Source organism: Homo sapiens, chromosome 4 (genome assembly GCF_000001405.40).
Source record: "Homo sapiens chromosome 4, GRCh38.p14 Primary Assembly".
NCBI lineage: Eukaryota > Metazoa > Chordata > Mammalia > Primates > Hominidae > Homo > Homo sapiens.
In genome coordinates, this window is record NC_000004.12 from 159603376 (window position 1) to 159619923 (window position 16548).

Below are 16548 nucleotides of genomic sequence, written 5' to 3' on the forward strand. Positions count from 1 at the left end.
GGAACTGGAATGTGACATTTATGGCTTATTCAACATACTAACATAATCTCAGTGTCTAATAATTGGTAAACAATAACTTCAACTCCCAGTGAGCATTGTAGTTAGGTCAGAAAATCTCAGTACAGAATTTGTTATTTATTAACCATAGGAATTATCTTTATAGTGTGAAGTTCCTGCGCTATGATTTTCACCCACAGCCATGGGGTGGACCTTTTGGAGTTATTAATAAGTGCAATGGATTTCAAAGCCCAAGTTCCACTTGGAGATGTATAGAAGAAGATTGGAGAGATGTAGAAGGTAGGGCAGGAGTAATTGGGCAATATTTCCCACTGTGGAAATATCACAGAATCAATGTTCATTTTACTTAATATTGTATAGATTCTATTGTGCTCTGCAAAACTGAAAGCAACCTGTAAAAAAACTCTGGTATTATCTATAAAACAGATGTAGTCCCATTCCCTGCATCACTCATGCACAGCTTTCAGCCACAGATCTTGAATTTCCTGGTACTTCAGTGAGTATCTTTCTTTTATTGCCTAGCTACATACAAGTGAGTAAAGCATTTAATTCCTTTGCTTTGACCTCCTCAAAGGAAAAGTCCCTTAAAATACAAAGTTGTAATTCTTACAAGGTTCAACTCAATTGTCTTTAAAAATAATAGCCAAGAGCAAGAATTTATTGTTAGAAAAGAAGTAATGAAACTGAGTGAAGTCTCTACATTTACTGCATTAAAATGAAATCTATCTTTGATGGCTCTCTTTTTAAATTTAATTGTTAATCAACTATTAACATTTTCTAGTTATTTTATATCACACGTGGAACTTTACTGCCACATGTAAAATAAGCATATAAATAACATCTAATGTGAGCAAAAACCTTTTTATTAGATTAGCTGATGACAGCAACAAGTTTTCTCAAAAGGGCAAATAAGTTGTATGAGAGTTTTACGTGACTTAATCAGCCAGATTTCTAAGCGTGATTTTAAGATGTATTATTGTTATTCCAGCAGAATTTGATTTCTAATTCCCCTCTTGCATCTTGAAGACTAATAGCAACATGTCTATTACAACGTGGAAGGAGAACACTATTCTTGGCATTCCCAGTTACCTTCCTTGAAATTTAAGGCTCATCAATGGCAAAATCAGTACTAGACATTTTTCTAGTATGGGTGAAGGGAAAACATTTAAAAGTAGAATAAAAAGGTATTAGTTGGTCATTTGCCACTGGTTTGGTTTCTGATACACCTGAACTTTCATGACTTAATGCTAAATCTGCTAAGGTTGAATGCCACATTTTGCTGGAATTTAGTCCTAGGCAGAGTGATGTGTATATGCAGGTGAACAGCTTGTTTTGATGACCTAGACAAAGAAAACTCATTTTCAGAGAACTAATCTCCACCTTCCTGGCCATTGGTATAGGCCCCAACACCCATCTTGATATTATGTTGTTACTGTGAAATTAAATAATTCAAATTTAAAGCTGCAGGAACTTTAAATTATTCTGAGCCTTGAGAGGAATGTGGCTATGTGGCCTGAGTCATGTGGCAAGCGACTGCGACTTCTGCCCTGTAAATAATTAGGAAGATCAAGAGGTGCCAGAGATAAGACCTCCCCAACCAAGACCTCTACCCCTCCTCACAGGGTAATAAACTAAGCTTCCTTGGAATTTAGCAATTTGTAACCAATCTAATCACTGTAAAGGATGCACTGGTTTTGTTTGGAAAATGTAATCTTACAATACTTCTCTTCCTCTACCCACATAAATGGAAACGTAACTTCTGAGCTTTGAAACACTGACCCCATTTGTTTGAAGTCCATGTTTCCCAGATGGCTATCCTCAAGCTTTGTGCTTGAACAGACTCTATACTTAATCATACTTTCTAAATCTCATTATTTAAGATTGACATTACTTTCATTGGCAAAAGCAACTAGGATCAGTAGTGCACAGCAGACCAAAGTGGTCCTGTCAGATTCACTTTTAGAAAAACAATTAGCCCGTTAAAAAAAAGAGAAGTAGGGTGGTAGGGGAAGGTGGTGAAGATATATATATATACACACACACATATATATATATATATATATATATACACATATATATATGTATATATATGTGTGTGTGTGATGTGTGTGTGTGTGTATATACATATGTATATATATATGTGTGTGTATATATATATGTATATATATAGTGAGAGTTATGCTTTGGTTTCTGATTCTTTTTCAGGCTTTTAATCTAGTTCTTCATAAGGCTTGATTACACTAAGTCCTCTTATAAAAAGTTTCTTCTTTGTGATTGAACTAATTTGAGTGGATTTCTGTTTCTCACAACCAAAGGAAACTTGACTAAGACAAAGGGAATGATGGCAGAGTGGTTAGCATCTCTTTTCTTGACATCTCTCACTTCTTATTAAGTCAAGGCAAGCACAAAAGGGGAAGAGAATAGGACTGATTGTTGTATCATTTCAAGCTGATATGAAGGAGTTTTAATATTCCCAGGTGAAATCTGTCTATATCAATTCTCCTGATGAAGACAGCCTTATAAAAAAGGAAGGTTCCAGCAAATCCCTGAAAAGAATGCTTGACTCTTATGGGGTTCAGGACATGCTACCCCAAAATATGGCACCTTGGCATGTGAGAAAACAGCAGAAGCGGGAAGGCCACTCTCAGCTTCCTCTCACTCTTCTCCCCTGAAGCAGACCGTAAAATAATTCTCTAAACTTCTAAAAATGTAAGTCATAAGGCCGGGCGCAGTGGCTCATGCCTGTAATCCCAGCACTTTGGGAGGCCGAGGCGGGCGGATCACGAGGTCAGGAGATCACGACCATCCTGGCTTAACACGGTGGAACACCGTCTCTACTAAAAATACAAAAAAAATTAGCCTGGCGTGGTGGCAGGCGCCTGTAGTCCCACCTACTCTGGAGGTTGTGGCAGGAGAATGGCAGAAACCCTGGAGGCAGAGCTTGCAGTGAGCCGAGATAGCGCCACTGCACTCCAGCCTGCGTGACAGAAAGAGACTCCGTTTTTTTTTTTTTTTTTTTTTTTAAAAAGGTAAGTCATAAAACCTTCATTCTAGAGGTACTCTCCTTATACCAAGAGGAAAGGAATATCCTTATTTTCAAAGACACAGAGACACCAACAAAAATCTAAACAGCCTTGCTAATGTCCCCCAGACCTCCCAGTTTATTACCATTAGATTATATTCCCTTTGAACAATGGTATGTCTGCACAACTGTCCACTCTTCATCCAACTTAGCATAAAAACACACAGATTTCCCTGTTTTTTGGGTCGTTCTTTCCTTATGAAGGCTCTTCTGTCAGGTAAAACCTACATTAAACAAATTAGTATAATTTTATCTGTCTTTTGATATGGGAGTTTCAGCCATGAACCCAGTGATGAGTGAGAAAAGACTTTTTTTTTTTTTTAAGTCCCCTACAATGCTTTGCGGCAGGAAATGTGATCTGGGACACCAAAGTAGATGCCCTTTTACAGCTAAGATAGGCCCTAAGGTTAATAAAACAAAGTTACCCTTTGGTTGAGGGCTCAGGGCCTGGTTACCACAGCAAATTTCTAAATACCTACTATAAGAAAAACCACACACTTGTGAAACTCCTAACAACAGGAGTCATCAGGCTGAATTACAACCTAGACCACTACTACTGTGGCTGGACAGAGGGCCAACATTGCAAACATTCTTTTCTGAGAAGGTACTACAGACCTTAGGGCAGTTTCAGCCAGCTTATAGAGGTTAAGCACTAATCATCTTTGTGTCCTGTAGTTCATCTTTTGACATAAAGAGCCAAATTCTACCTCATTTGAATGCTAAAACCCCACCCCAAAGTGAGCATGGGATGTATGTTACGTACGTGTTTACCCAATCCACATCCACTTGGCTCCCCTCATAAATATGTATAGTTTTCCACCCAAACCGGCTGAATATGTGTGATACTGGCACTGTGAGGCATAAAACCCAACCTGTTCTTCCTCTCTTTGAAGAGAAGTCCATGCTGGATACTTTCTCTTCCTGGCTTGCAAACCAGTATCACCAATAAAGTTTTCCTTTCTACTCTCTAGCCGTCCTGGTGGTCTGACTTCCATTTTCATTTAGCATGGTGTGAAAAGTTGAGACAAATGTAGTCTTGAACAGCTGGTGAGGTAGCTAGGCAGAAAATGAATGCAGTAGGAATTAATGGTAAACGTTAGAAACTTTATCATCACAATCTGATAGAAAACTTGGTGACCTCCAAATTCATTTTCGAATGAAATTAGAATACATCAGAATGCCAAGTGAACATTTACCACATTGTATCACTAAATGTTTTCTGTGGCTTTATTTTTCTAAGTAATCCAAACCAGGATCTGGCTAGACTATGACATGTGTCAGAAAATTCTGTAAGTGATGTAGTTATCTTCTCATTTAGGCTGTGGTATTAGAATCCAAAACATGGCTTGGATGGTATTTTGTGCCTATTATTTCCTCAAATGATGCTAAAGTGAATTCATTAATTTTTAATCTGAAAACACTTTAATTAATTCAGAATGTGAAAGGTTAGTTTGAAAATAAGGTATGATACAAAGGGGATGGCAGGCACCCTGGTGCGCAGCAGATTGGCTCTGATCTTTTGCAATCCAAGTGAGAGGTTGTTGTTCTGTTATGGATGAAAAGGCTCATTATCTCAAAGATAATTGCCCAGATGCCATACCAGTGAGGTCACACTAAACAGGGCTGTGGTTTCTGAACCAAATATTTGAGCTAATTAACAGTTAAAGGTGTAGGGAACTATTTTTAATGTACTATAGAGAACAACTAATAAATACTTCCTTCATGCAAAATATTTAACCACTTACGGAGGCTAAATGGAGCTACTGAGTGAAATTGCAAAAATTAGAAAAGTAACATTTTTAAAATTCAGTCTATTATATAGTTATATACTTTCTGTATTGCTTGGGTTTTGACATCTCTCCAAGTGTGTAAATAATTCTGTTAACTTTTTTAAAAAAGTCATGCAGCGTTAAGAGGATAAGTAGTAAAATATTTTAATACCTTTATATTCTAGTTGACATTTTAAAGCTAAGCCTTTAGATTTCAAGGTTTGTGAATAGAGTTGAATTGTTGAAGCCCTAGACATTGCGATTTTGTGGAAAATATACTTACAGAAAACTACAGTACAGTGTGTAAAAGTAGGGCAGGAGAATATCATAACCAGTGAGAATCTGACCTCTTGTTTCTGTCTCCTACTCTCCAAAGTAAATCCTATGCTTGCTTGGTTTTCCGAATTGCAACATCACATAATGACTCTGCAGGTGGTGCTGTCTGAGTAGAAATGGAATTTTATAGTTAGCCACAAGGTCTTTCTCTATTAGAATAACTATTAACACTTTAAATCAAAACCAGAAGTGGATGGTATGATTTGTGACAAAGATCGAGGCTGACGGTTTCAGTGATTTTAAGTATACTTTTGTACTGTTTCATCTTTTCCTAAATTTCTGAAGTAGCCGATTAGGAATAGCAATAGCCAGAGTAAAAAAAAATGAGTGTGAAATTTTGAGCATTGGTAGACAGACACAGGGAGGTAAAATTTAAATAAGGCACAGTGTGGGGTATTGAATAAACTGGAACACAGAATGTTAGCATCCTAGGATCAATACAGAGAAGAATGGTTTCCAAATAGGTGTGAGAAATCTTTTCTTCACGCTGCAACTGACTTGAAGCTTTATCAAGTCTTCCTTTCTGAGTTGGTTAGAACTTCAGTAGTTGGAATCCTAGAGTATTTTTGTTGTTTAAATCCATTAGTTGTGATTTAAAAAACACAGCGTGAATTTAGTTATTATTGTAAGAGTTAAAGGAAGAGGAAAGAAACATGAAAAGCAGCTCAAGAGTAAAAGACTGTTTTATTTTGGAGAATAAACCTGAGAGGGGCTTCTGGCCGATTTCAGTCAAGAGTGCTCTCTCCTACAGACTAAGAGTATTTATTGGTTTTAGGGTGAGAGGGTTTATCACAGGCTTGGAATATTTCTGTGTGGTGGAGAAGCTTATTTTTATTTTATTTTTTATTATACTTTAAGTTCTAGGGTACATGTGCACAATGTGCAGGTTTGTTACATATGTATACATGTGCCATGTTGGTGTGCTGCACCCATTAACTCGTCCTTTACATTAGGTATATCTCCTAATGCTATCCCTCCCCCCTCCCCCCACCCCATGACAGACCCCGGTGTGTGATGTTCCCCTTCCTGTGTCCAAGTGTTATCATTGTTCAATTCCCACCTATGAGTGAGAACATGTGGTGTTTGGTTTTTTGTCCTTGCGATAGTTTGCTGAGAATGATGGTTTCCAGCTTCATCCATGTCCCTACAAAGGACATGAACTCATCATTTTTTATGTCTGCATAGTATTCCATGGTGTATATGTGCCACATTTTCTTAATCCAGTCTATCATTGTTGGACATTTGGGTTGGTTCCAAGTCTTTGCTATTGTGAATAATGCCACAACAAACATACGTGTGCATGTGTCTTTATAGCAGCATGATTTATAATCCTTTGGGTATATATACCCAGTAATGGGATGGCTGGGTCAAATGGTATTTCTAGTTCTAGATCCTTAAGGAATCGCCACACTGTCTTCCACAATGGTTGAACTAGTTTACAGTCCCACCAGCAGTATAAAAGTGTTCCTATTTTTCCACATCCTCTCCAGCACCTGTTGTTTCCTGACTTTTTAATGATTGCCATTCTAACTGGTGTGAGATGGTATCTCATTGTGGTTTTGATTTGCATTTCTCTGATGGCCAGTGATGATGAGCATTTTTTCATGTGTCTGTTGGCTGCTTAAATGTCTTCTTTTGAGAAGTGTCTGTTCATCTGCTTTGCCCACTTTTTGATGGGGTTGTTTGATTTTTTTCTTGTAAATTTGTTTGAGTTCTTTGTAGATGCTGGATATTAGCCCTTTGTCAGATGGGTAGATTGCAAAAATTTTTTCCCATTCTGTAGGTTGCCTGTTCACTCCGATGGTAGTTTCTTTTGCTGTGCAGAAGCTCTTTAGTTTAATTAGATCCCATTTGTCAATTTTGGCTTTTGTTACCATTGCTTTTGGTGTTTTAGACATGAAGTCCTTGCACATGCCTATGTCCTGAATGGTATTGCCTAGGTTTTCTTCCAGGGTTTTTATGGTTTTAGGTCTAACATTTAAGTCTTTAATCCATCTTGAATTAATTTTTGTATAAGGTGTAAGGAAGGGATCCAGTTTCAGCTTTCTACATATGGGTAGCCAGTTTTCCCAGCACCATTTATTAAATAGGGAATCCTTTCCCCATTTCTTGTTTTTTCAGGTTTCTCAAGGATCAGATAGTTGTAGATGTGTGGTATTATTTCTGAGGCCTCTGTTCTGTTCCATTGGTTTATATGTCTGTTTTGGTACCAGTACCATGGCATTTTGGTTACTGTAGGCTTGTAGTATAGTTTGAAGTCAGGTAGCATGATGCCTCCAGCTTTGTTCTTTTGGCTTAGGATTGACTTGGCAATGCGGACTCTTTTTTGGTTCCATATGAAATTTAAAGTAGTTTTTTCCAATTCTGTGAAGAAAGTCATTGGTAGCTTGATGGGGATGGCATTGCATCTAGAAATTACCTTTGGCAGTATGGCAATTTTCATGATATTGATTCTTCCCATCCATGAGCATGGAATGTTCTTCCATTTGTTTGTGTCCTCTTTTATTTTGTTGAGCAGTGGTTTGTAGTTCTCCTTGAAGAGGCCCTTCACATCCCTTGTAAGTTGGATTCCTAGGTATTTTATTCTCTTTGAAGCAATTGTGAATGGGAGTTCACTCATGATTTGGCTCTTTGTTTGTCTGTTATTGGTGTCTAAGAATGCTTGTGATTTTTGTGCGTTGATTTTGTATCCTGAGACTTTGCTGAAGTTGCTTATCAGGTTAAGGAGATTTTGGGCTGAGACGATGGGGTTTTCTAAATATACAATCATGTTATCTGCAAACAGGGACAATTTGACTTCCTCTTTTCCTAATTGAATACCCTTTTTTTCTATCTCCTGCCTGATTGCCCTAGCCAGAACTTCTAATACTATGTTGAATAAGAGTGGTGAGAGAGGACATCTCTGTCTCGTGCCCGTTTTCAAAGGGAATGCTTCCAGTTTTTGCCCATTCAGTATGATATTGGCTGTGGGTTTATCATAAATAGCTTTTATTATTTTGAGATACGTCCCATCAATACCTAATTTATTGAGAGTTTTTAGCATGAAGGGCTGTTGAATTTTGTCAAAGGCCTTTTCTGCATCTATTGAGATAATCATGTGGTTTTTGTCTTTGGTTCTGTTTATATGCTGGATTACATTTATTGATTTGTGTATGTTGAACCAGCCTTGCATCCCAGGGATGAAGCCCACTTGATCATGTTGGATAAGCTTTTTGATGTGCTGCTGGATTTGGTTTGCCAGTATTTTTTTGAGGATTTTTGCATCAATGTTCATCAGGGATATTGGTCTAAAATTCTCTTTTTTTTGTGTGTGTGTCTCTGCCAGGCTTTGGTATCAGGATGATGCTGGCCTCATAAAATGAGTGAGGGAGGATTCCCTCTTTTTCTGTTGATTGCAATAGTTTCAGAAGGAATGGTACCAGTTCCTCCTTGTACCTCTGGTAGAATCGGCTGTGAATCTGTCTGGTCCTGGACATTTTTTGGTTGGTAGGCTATTAATTATTGTCTCAATTTCAGAGCCTGTTATTGGTCTATTCAGGGATTGAAGTTCTTCCTGGTTTAGTCTTGGAAGGGTGTATGTGTCCAGGAATTTATCCATTTCTTCTAGATTTTCTAGTTTATTTGCATAGAGGTATTTATAGTATTCTCTGATGGTAGTTTGTATTTCTGTGGGATCGGTGATGATATCCCCTTTATCATTTTTTATCACGTTTATTTGATTCTTCTCTCTTTTCTTCTTTATTAGTCTTGTTAGTAGTCTATCAATTTTGTTGATCTTTTCAAAAAACCAGCTCCTGGATTAGTTGATTTTTTGAAGGGTTTTTTGTGTCTCTATCTCCCTCAGTTCTTCTCTGATCTTAGTTATTTCTTGCCTTCTGCTAGCTGTTGAATGTGTTTGCTCTTGCTTCTCTAGTTCTTTTAATTGTGATGTTAGGGTGTCAATTTTAGATCTTTTCCTGCTTTCTCTTGTGGGCATTTAGTGCTATCAATATCCCTCTATAGACTGCTTTAAATGTGTCCCAGAGATTCTGGTATGTTGTGTGTTTGTTCTCATTGGCGTCAAAGAACATCTTTATTTCTTCCTTCATTTCGTTATGTACCCAGTAGTCATTCAGGAGCAAGTTGTTCAGTTTCCATGTAGTTGAGCGGTGTTGAGTGTTTCTTAATCCTGAGTTCTAGTTTAATTTCACTGTGGTCTGAGAGAGAGTTTGTTATAATTTCTGTTCTTTTCCATTTGCTGAAGAGTGCTTTACTTCCAACTATGTGGTCAGTTTTGGAATAAGTGCGATGTGTTGCTGCGAAGAATGTATATTTTGTTGATTTTAAGTGGAGAGTTCTGTAGATGTCTATTAGGTCCGCTTGGTGCAGAGCTAAATTCAATTCCTGGATATCCTTTTTAACTTTCTGTCTCATCCATCTGTCTCATGTTGACAGTGGGGTGTTAAAGTCTCCCATTATTATTGTGTGGGAGTCTAAGTCTCTTTGTAGGTCTCTAAGGACTTGCTTTATGAATCTGGGTGCTCCTGTATTGGGTGCATATATATTTAGGATAGTTAGCTCTTGTTGTTGAATTGATCCCTTTACCATTATGTAATGGCCTTCTTTGTCTCTTTTGATCTTTGTTGGTTTAAAGTCTGTTTTATCAGAGACTAGGATTGCAACCCCTGCCTTTTTTTGTTTTCCATTTGCTTGGTAGATCTTCCTTCATCCCTTCATTTGAGCCTATATGTGTCTCTACACATGAGATGGGTCTCCTGAACACAGTGCACTAATGGGTCTTGACTCTTTATCCAACTTACCAGTCTGTGTCTTTTATTTGGAGCATTTAGCCCATTTACATTTAAGGTTAATATTGTTTGTGTGAATTTGATCCTGTCATTATGATGTTAGCTGGTTATTTTGCTCATTAGTTGATGCAGTTTCTTCCTAGTCTCGATGGTCTTTACAATTTGGCATGTTTTTGCAGTGGCTGGTACTGGTTGTTCCTTTCCATGTTTAGTGCTTCCTTCAAGAGCTCTTGTAGGGCAGGTCTGGTGGTGACAAAATCTCTCAGCATTTGCTTGTCTATGAGGGATTTTATTTGTCCTTCACTTATGAAGCTTAGTTTGGCTGGATATGAAATTCTGGATTGAAAATGCTTTTCTTTAAGAATGTTGAATATTGGCCCCCACTCTCTTCTGGCTTGTAGAGTTTCTGCTGAGAGATCCACTGTTAGTCTGATGGGCTTCCCTTTGTGGGTAACCCGACCTTTCTCTCTGGCTGCCCTTAACATTTTTTCCTTCATTTCAACTTTGATGAATCTGACAATTATGTGTCTTGGAGTTGCTCTTCTCGAGGAGTATCTTTGTGGCATTCTCTGTATTTCCTGAATTTGAATGTTGGCCTGCCTTGCTAGGTTGGGGAAGTTCTGGGTAATATCCTGCAGAGTGTTTTCCAACTTGGTTCCATTCTCCCATTACTTTCAGGTACACCAATCAGACATAGATTTGGTGTTTTCACATAGTCCCATATTTCTGGGAGGCTTTATTCATTTCTTTTTACTCTTTTTTCTCTAAACTTCTCGCTTCATTTCATTCATTTGATCTTCAATCACTGATACCCTTTCTTCCACTTGATCGAATCGGCTACTGAAGCTTGTGCATTCGTCACGTAGTTCTCATGCCATGGTTTTCAGCTCCATCAGGTCCTTTAAGGACTTTAAGGACTACACTGGTTATTCTAGTTAGCCATTCATCTAATCTTTTTTCATGGTTTTCAGCTTCTTCTAGATGGGATCGAACTTCCTCCTTTCGCTCAGAGAGGTTTGATTGTCTGAAGCCTTCTTCTCTCAACTTGTCAAAGTCATTCTCCATCTAGGTTTGTCCGTTGCTGGTGAGTAGCTGCGTTCCTTTGGAGGGGGAGAGGCACTCTGAGTTTTAGAATTTTCAGCTTTTCTGCTCTGTTTTTTCCCCATCTTTGTGGTTTTGTCTACCTTTGGTCTTTGATGTTGGTGACCTACAAATTGGGTTTTGGTATGGATGTCCTTTCTGTTTGTTAGTTTTCCTTCTAACAGTCAGGACCCTCAGCTGCAGGTCTGTTGAAGTTTGCTGGAGGTCCACTCCAGACCCTGTTTACCTGGGTATCAGCAGCGGAGGCCGCAGAACAGTGAATATTGCTGAACAGCGAATGTTGCTGCCTGATTGTTCCTCTGGAAGCTTCATCTCAGAGGGGTACTGGGCCATGTGCGGTGTCAGTCTGCCCCTACTTGGGGGTGCCTCTCAGTTAGGCTACTCGGGGGTCAGGGACCCACCTGAGGAGGCAGTCTGTCCGTCCTCAGATCTCAAACTCCGTGCTGGGAGAGCTACTACTCTCTTCAAAGCTGTCAGACAGGGACATTTAAGTCTGCAGAGGTTTCTGCTGCCTTTTGTTCGGCTATGCCTGCCCCCAGAGGTGGAGTCTACAGAGGCAGGCAGGCCTCCTTGAGCAGTGGTGGGCTCCACCCAGTTCGAGCTTCCTGGCGGCTTTGTTTACCTACTCAAGCCTCAGCAATGGTGGGCGCCCCTCCTCCAGCCTCATTGCTGCCTTGCAGTTCGTTCTCAGACTGCTGTGCTGGCAATGAGCGAGGCTCCCTGGGCGTGGGACCCTCCAAGCCAGGTGCAGGATATAATCTCCTGGTGTGCCGTGTGCTAAGACCGTTGGAAAAACACAGTATTAGGGTGGGAGTGACCCGACTTTCCAGTTGCCATCTGTCACAGCTTCCCTTGGCTAGGAAAGGGAATTCCCTGACCCCTTGTGCTTCCCTGTTGAGGCGATGCCTCGCCGTGCTTCGGCTCATGCTTGGTGGGCTGCACCCACTGTCCTGCACACATTGTCCAACAAGCCCCAGTGAGATCAACCCAGTACCTCAGTTGGAAATGCAGAAATCACCCATCTTCTGCATCGCTCACACTGGGAGCTGTTGACTGGAGCTCTTCCTATTCGGCCATCTTGAAACTGCCGTGCTGGTGGAGAAGCTTATTGCAGGGTTGGAATGTCTCTGGTTGGAGGGGAGGTTGTGTCGGGGCTGGCATATCTCTGGTTGGGGAAGGGTTTAGGAGTGGTTTATGGTCATGCTGACCTTAGCCATTAGGCTGATACACTTTGGATTTAGGCAGTGTTTGATCAAGGGGAACTTTAGAATGGCGGTGCTTGTCCAAGATGGTGATGCTCCTGCTCTGTCAAGTATCAGCCACAGTTGCACTGCTTTTTGAAGAGCTTGAGTATGGTGACTGTTGTCTTTGCCTGGCCTCCTTTTCTTTTGGATGACAGACTACACCTGCACAATACAGTATGTTGGTAACAGTGCTCCATTCTCCTGGCCACAGTGTTTGATTCAGGGATGTGCCAAACTGAGATGATTTTATTCTATTTTGGATGGAAGTGGTATGGAATTATCTATTTTCTCTGTTTGTGAGATTGCAAATTTTGCCTGCAGAACTGCCTACAGCAATGTGATACTTCACAAAAGCCCGAGAGAGAGTGAAGCTGATGCCCAGGGGGCAGGCAAGCCTGAGAGAGTCCTGATACTTTTAAAATTTCTCCCTCTAGTCCCTTAGGTCCTCAGGGCTGTCCTGGTTCCTGCAGCCCTTCTCATTCTGTTGCTACTACAGGAGTTTGCAGTACACCCCCCTTCCTTTTTTTTTTTTTTTTTTTAAATAGGTTAGTTTTGACCTTCTGTCCGTGGCAATATACTAAGGCATAGCACTCAGTGTCTTACTCACTAAAGAGACAGAACATATGTGAAAGGGGACCCCACAACTTGTTGCAGTTCAGCTGCACTGGGAAACATCCTTACTTTATTTTCTTGAGGCAGATGAGGAAAGCGTCCCTTCTCAAATCTGGTGGCCACTTTCCTGTCCTAAGACCTTTGCATACTTTTCCCTTCTGCTTAGGAAGCTTGTACTCCACTCATCCCTCCCCTTCATTCTTTTTTTTTTTTTTTTTTTTTTTTTTTTTGAGACAGAGTCTTGCTCTGTTGCCCACGCTGGAGTGCAGTGGTGCGATCTGGGCTCACTGCACCCTCCGACTCCTGGGTTCAAGTGATTCTCTTGCCTCAGCCTCCTGAGTACCTGGGAATACAGGCGTGTGCCACCATGCCCAGCTAATTTTCCCCTTCTTTCTTTAGGTTGAATGTCGGCTCCTCAGAGAAGCCTCATCACAGAAGATAACTGCTTCCTTCCCATCTCATCCTCTTACTACATGTAGTTTCCTTTTTCATAGCCCTTACCTCAAATATGATTATGTTTTCATTTGTTAGCTCACCTTTTTTGTTTGTCTCCCCCACTACAGTGTGAACTCCATGACAGCAAGGATCATGCGTTTATTTATCAGTTATTCTGACACCTAGCTCTTTTATAAACTACAGGCTCCTTGGTTCCCCATGTAATGGCAATTAGCATGGAGCCAAGCAGATTTCCCAGACTAGGATTTATTTCAGAGCTTGTGGTCCAGTGCAAGGGAGACAGTGGAGGCACGGCACAAGGATCTTACAGCAGGCTCCTTGAGAAAGCCGATAGGGATTTTTTTATGAGGCCGAGCATGGAATTGACCCTAGGGGTAAGGTATACAGGCTGGGCTGGGTAAAACATGTGAGAAGTAGTGTATGCAAGTCAGCACATCTAGTTATCTCTAGTAACTGGCCTTCTGGTGGTCTGATGAGTGGTAACGCTGTAAATCAACTGTTCAACATTTTTTCCCAAGGTGGGACACTCTGCAGCCTTAGTTCTATGTTTAGATCTCCTAAGGCCAGTTTCTGGAATTATTTAAGTAAAAGGCATTGTTAAACATTATGAGAGCACAAAAGAATGGCTATTATCTTTGTGTGACTAAAGCCTTGGGGTTAGCAGATATAGTCAGTAAAGCAGTGGTGTGTGTTTTGTGAAAAGAAGGAGAAAAAAGAAAAAAATATGTGAGGGAGGAGCCTCATCCCACTCCTATCTCAGCCCTTTTTATAATGCATTGAATAAATTAAAGAATAAAAAATTATTTTATACTCTTACTAAAAATAAGTACCTAATCAGGGTTCAGCTCTACCTAACAATTATAATCTTAAATCTATATCTTAAAATAGGCAAATCAGAGAAAAAAATACTCACTGCACTGATACATTTGGTTGACTACCAAATTCCCATTTTTCTCATCTTCTAGCAAACAGACCCATAATATCTTTTGCTTGTGGGAGGCAAAAGGGTCACCTTCAGTACCAGGCAACATCCTGATCAAAAAAAGGCAACTTTGGCTGATACATCTCCTCTCCAGCAGTTTGTTTAGGAATGGGCACAACTGGGGAGCAGCTGCTAGTGTATTCTGAAAAAGTGTTTTCTTCTCTCAACAAAAGGGGCCCAAGGAAGGCTGTTTTCTGGACTTTATTGACTGAAGATATGATGTCTAGAGTGTCTAAAGTCATCTGGAGCATTGAGATGTTGATGAAAAGAGTCAAACTCTGTAAAATATTTGAAGACATTTATTCTGAGCCAAATATGAGTGACCATGGCCACAGGCCCCAGGAGGTCCTGAACACATGTGCTCGAGGTGGTTAGGGTGCAGCTTGGTTTTATACATTTTAGGGAGACATGAGACTTCAATCAAATACATTTAATAAATACATTGGTTTCGTCCTGAAAGGAAGGACAACTTGAATCAGGTGGCAGGGGTGGGGGTAGGGGGCTTCTAATTTCTAGGTAGATTTAAATTTTTTTTGGTTGGCAATTGGTTGAGTTTATCTAAAGATCTGGGATCAATAGAAAGGAAATGTGTGGGTCGTGATAAGAGGTTATGGAGACTGCAGTTTTATCATGCAGATGAAGCCTCGGGGCAATAGGCTTCGGAGAGAATAGATTGTAAATCTTTCTTATCAGACTTCAGGTCTATGTTGATGTTAATGCTGGAGAGGTATAAAGAAGCATGTCTGACTCCCACTTCCTATCATGGCATGAACCAGTCTCTCAGGTTAAAACTTAAGAATGCCCTGGCCGAGGAAGTTCATTCAGATGGTTGGGGGCCTTAGAATTTTATTTTTGGTTTACAGAGATGAGTAGCCACCATGGGGAGGGTAGCAGAAGGGAAGAACGAAAAGAATCACAGAATCATCTAGCCTCGAAAATACTCCTCTTCCCATTTCTTGTTAAGTGAAGTAATAAAAATATATTTATAAGATTAATTTTAATAGGTCTTTTGTTACTTGTAATCCAAACTGCTATTCTTAAGAATAATTTCTTAATAAGGGGTGCAATAAGGGAGTGATATATATATATATATATATATATATATACACACACAGTGATCGAATTATAAATTTATATTTTGTTAGAGAAAGACAGTAGTAAGTAAAGCCTTCATCAATAATCAGATATTACTGAGATATTTAATTACTTTTGATTGGATTGAGAAAAATATCTGTAGATTCTGGTAGGGCATGGAGAAGTTCTGATCACTATTATGGAGAAGATTTATTAGGAAGGAGTCCAGTGAGGCAATACCATTTAAGATAATGCTTCCCCCATTTCATTTAGTAATACAAAATGAATGCCTATTTCAAGAACACTGGAGAATTGAAATGACTGCTGTGATAGTTCTAAAACTAAAATATACTCAAGAAAGAAATGTTTTTTTAAACAATGTTGTCTAATTATACTTAGGAAATAAAGAGGTCCTTAGTATTTATGAATCAGTAAGTGTTCTTTTGGTTTTCCAACTGTGTTTTCTCTGTCAGAGATCTGTTAAATAGAACAAGAAACCTATTTACTATTGAATTTAAAATATTTTTTGTTTTTAACTAAGAAAGCTTTCATGTTATGAAAGAAAAAACAACCTTGCAAACAATAGCAAAATCCAAACAGTGGAAAAACTATGCACAGAAAGAGTAAGTTTTTCCCAACTTAGAACAATGGTTCAGTCCCCATTGGCAATGATTAATGTTAATTTTTCCATCTCAAATCTTTTATGAATAACTTGAATGGGTGAAGGAGCAGATTAAACCATATATTGAACAAATATTGATTGAGTGCTTCCTATCTATCAGGCATCATGCTTGGTGCTGGAAATGTAGCATGAAAAAGGTCACCAGTGAATCTGCCCTCAATGAGTTTGGGAAAATGAGTAGGGAAAGAGCCATAGCAATTAAAAGCATTTTCCTAAAGGTGGGATGTATCAGGGTAGTGAAGGACAGGTACTGGTAATAATCAGTGGAGGTACTTAGCTTCATCTATAGTGTCGCAAAAGACCTGCCTGAGGAAGTGATGTGTATACTAAGACCTGGGGAAGGCAGGCAATGTCTTTAACACATTTTTTCATCTATTTTAGGGTATAAGAGGCAGAAAGAATGCT

At 39.5% G+C, this 16548-nt stretch overlaps 1 long non-coding RNA gene across 2 annotated transcripts in view, besides 1 other annotated feature; it reads left to right on the forward strand.

Moving 5' to 3' along the window:
- LOC107986324 (uncharacterized) overlaps positions 1-16548 on the forward strand; it is a 487144-nt gene that overhangs the window by 63053 nt on the left and 407543 nt on the right. The window lies entirely within an intron of this gene.
- Positions 4247-4889: an enhancer, noted in NCBI's record as "OCT4-NANOG hESC enhancer chr4:160528774-160529416 (GRCh37/hg19 assembly coordinates)". NCBI's record gives its function as "activates a minimal SCP1, AML or CMV promoter by ChIP-STARR-seq in naive H9 embryonic stem cells {active_cell/tissue: H9 hESC(naive)}" and the evidence as "EXISTENCE:reporter gene assay evidence [ECO:0000049][PMID:30033119]".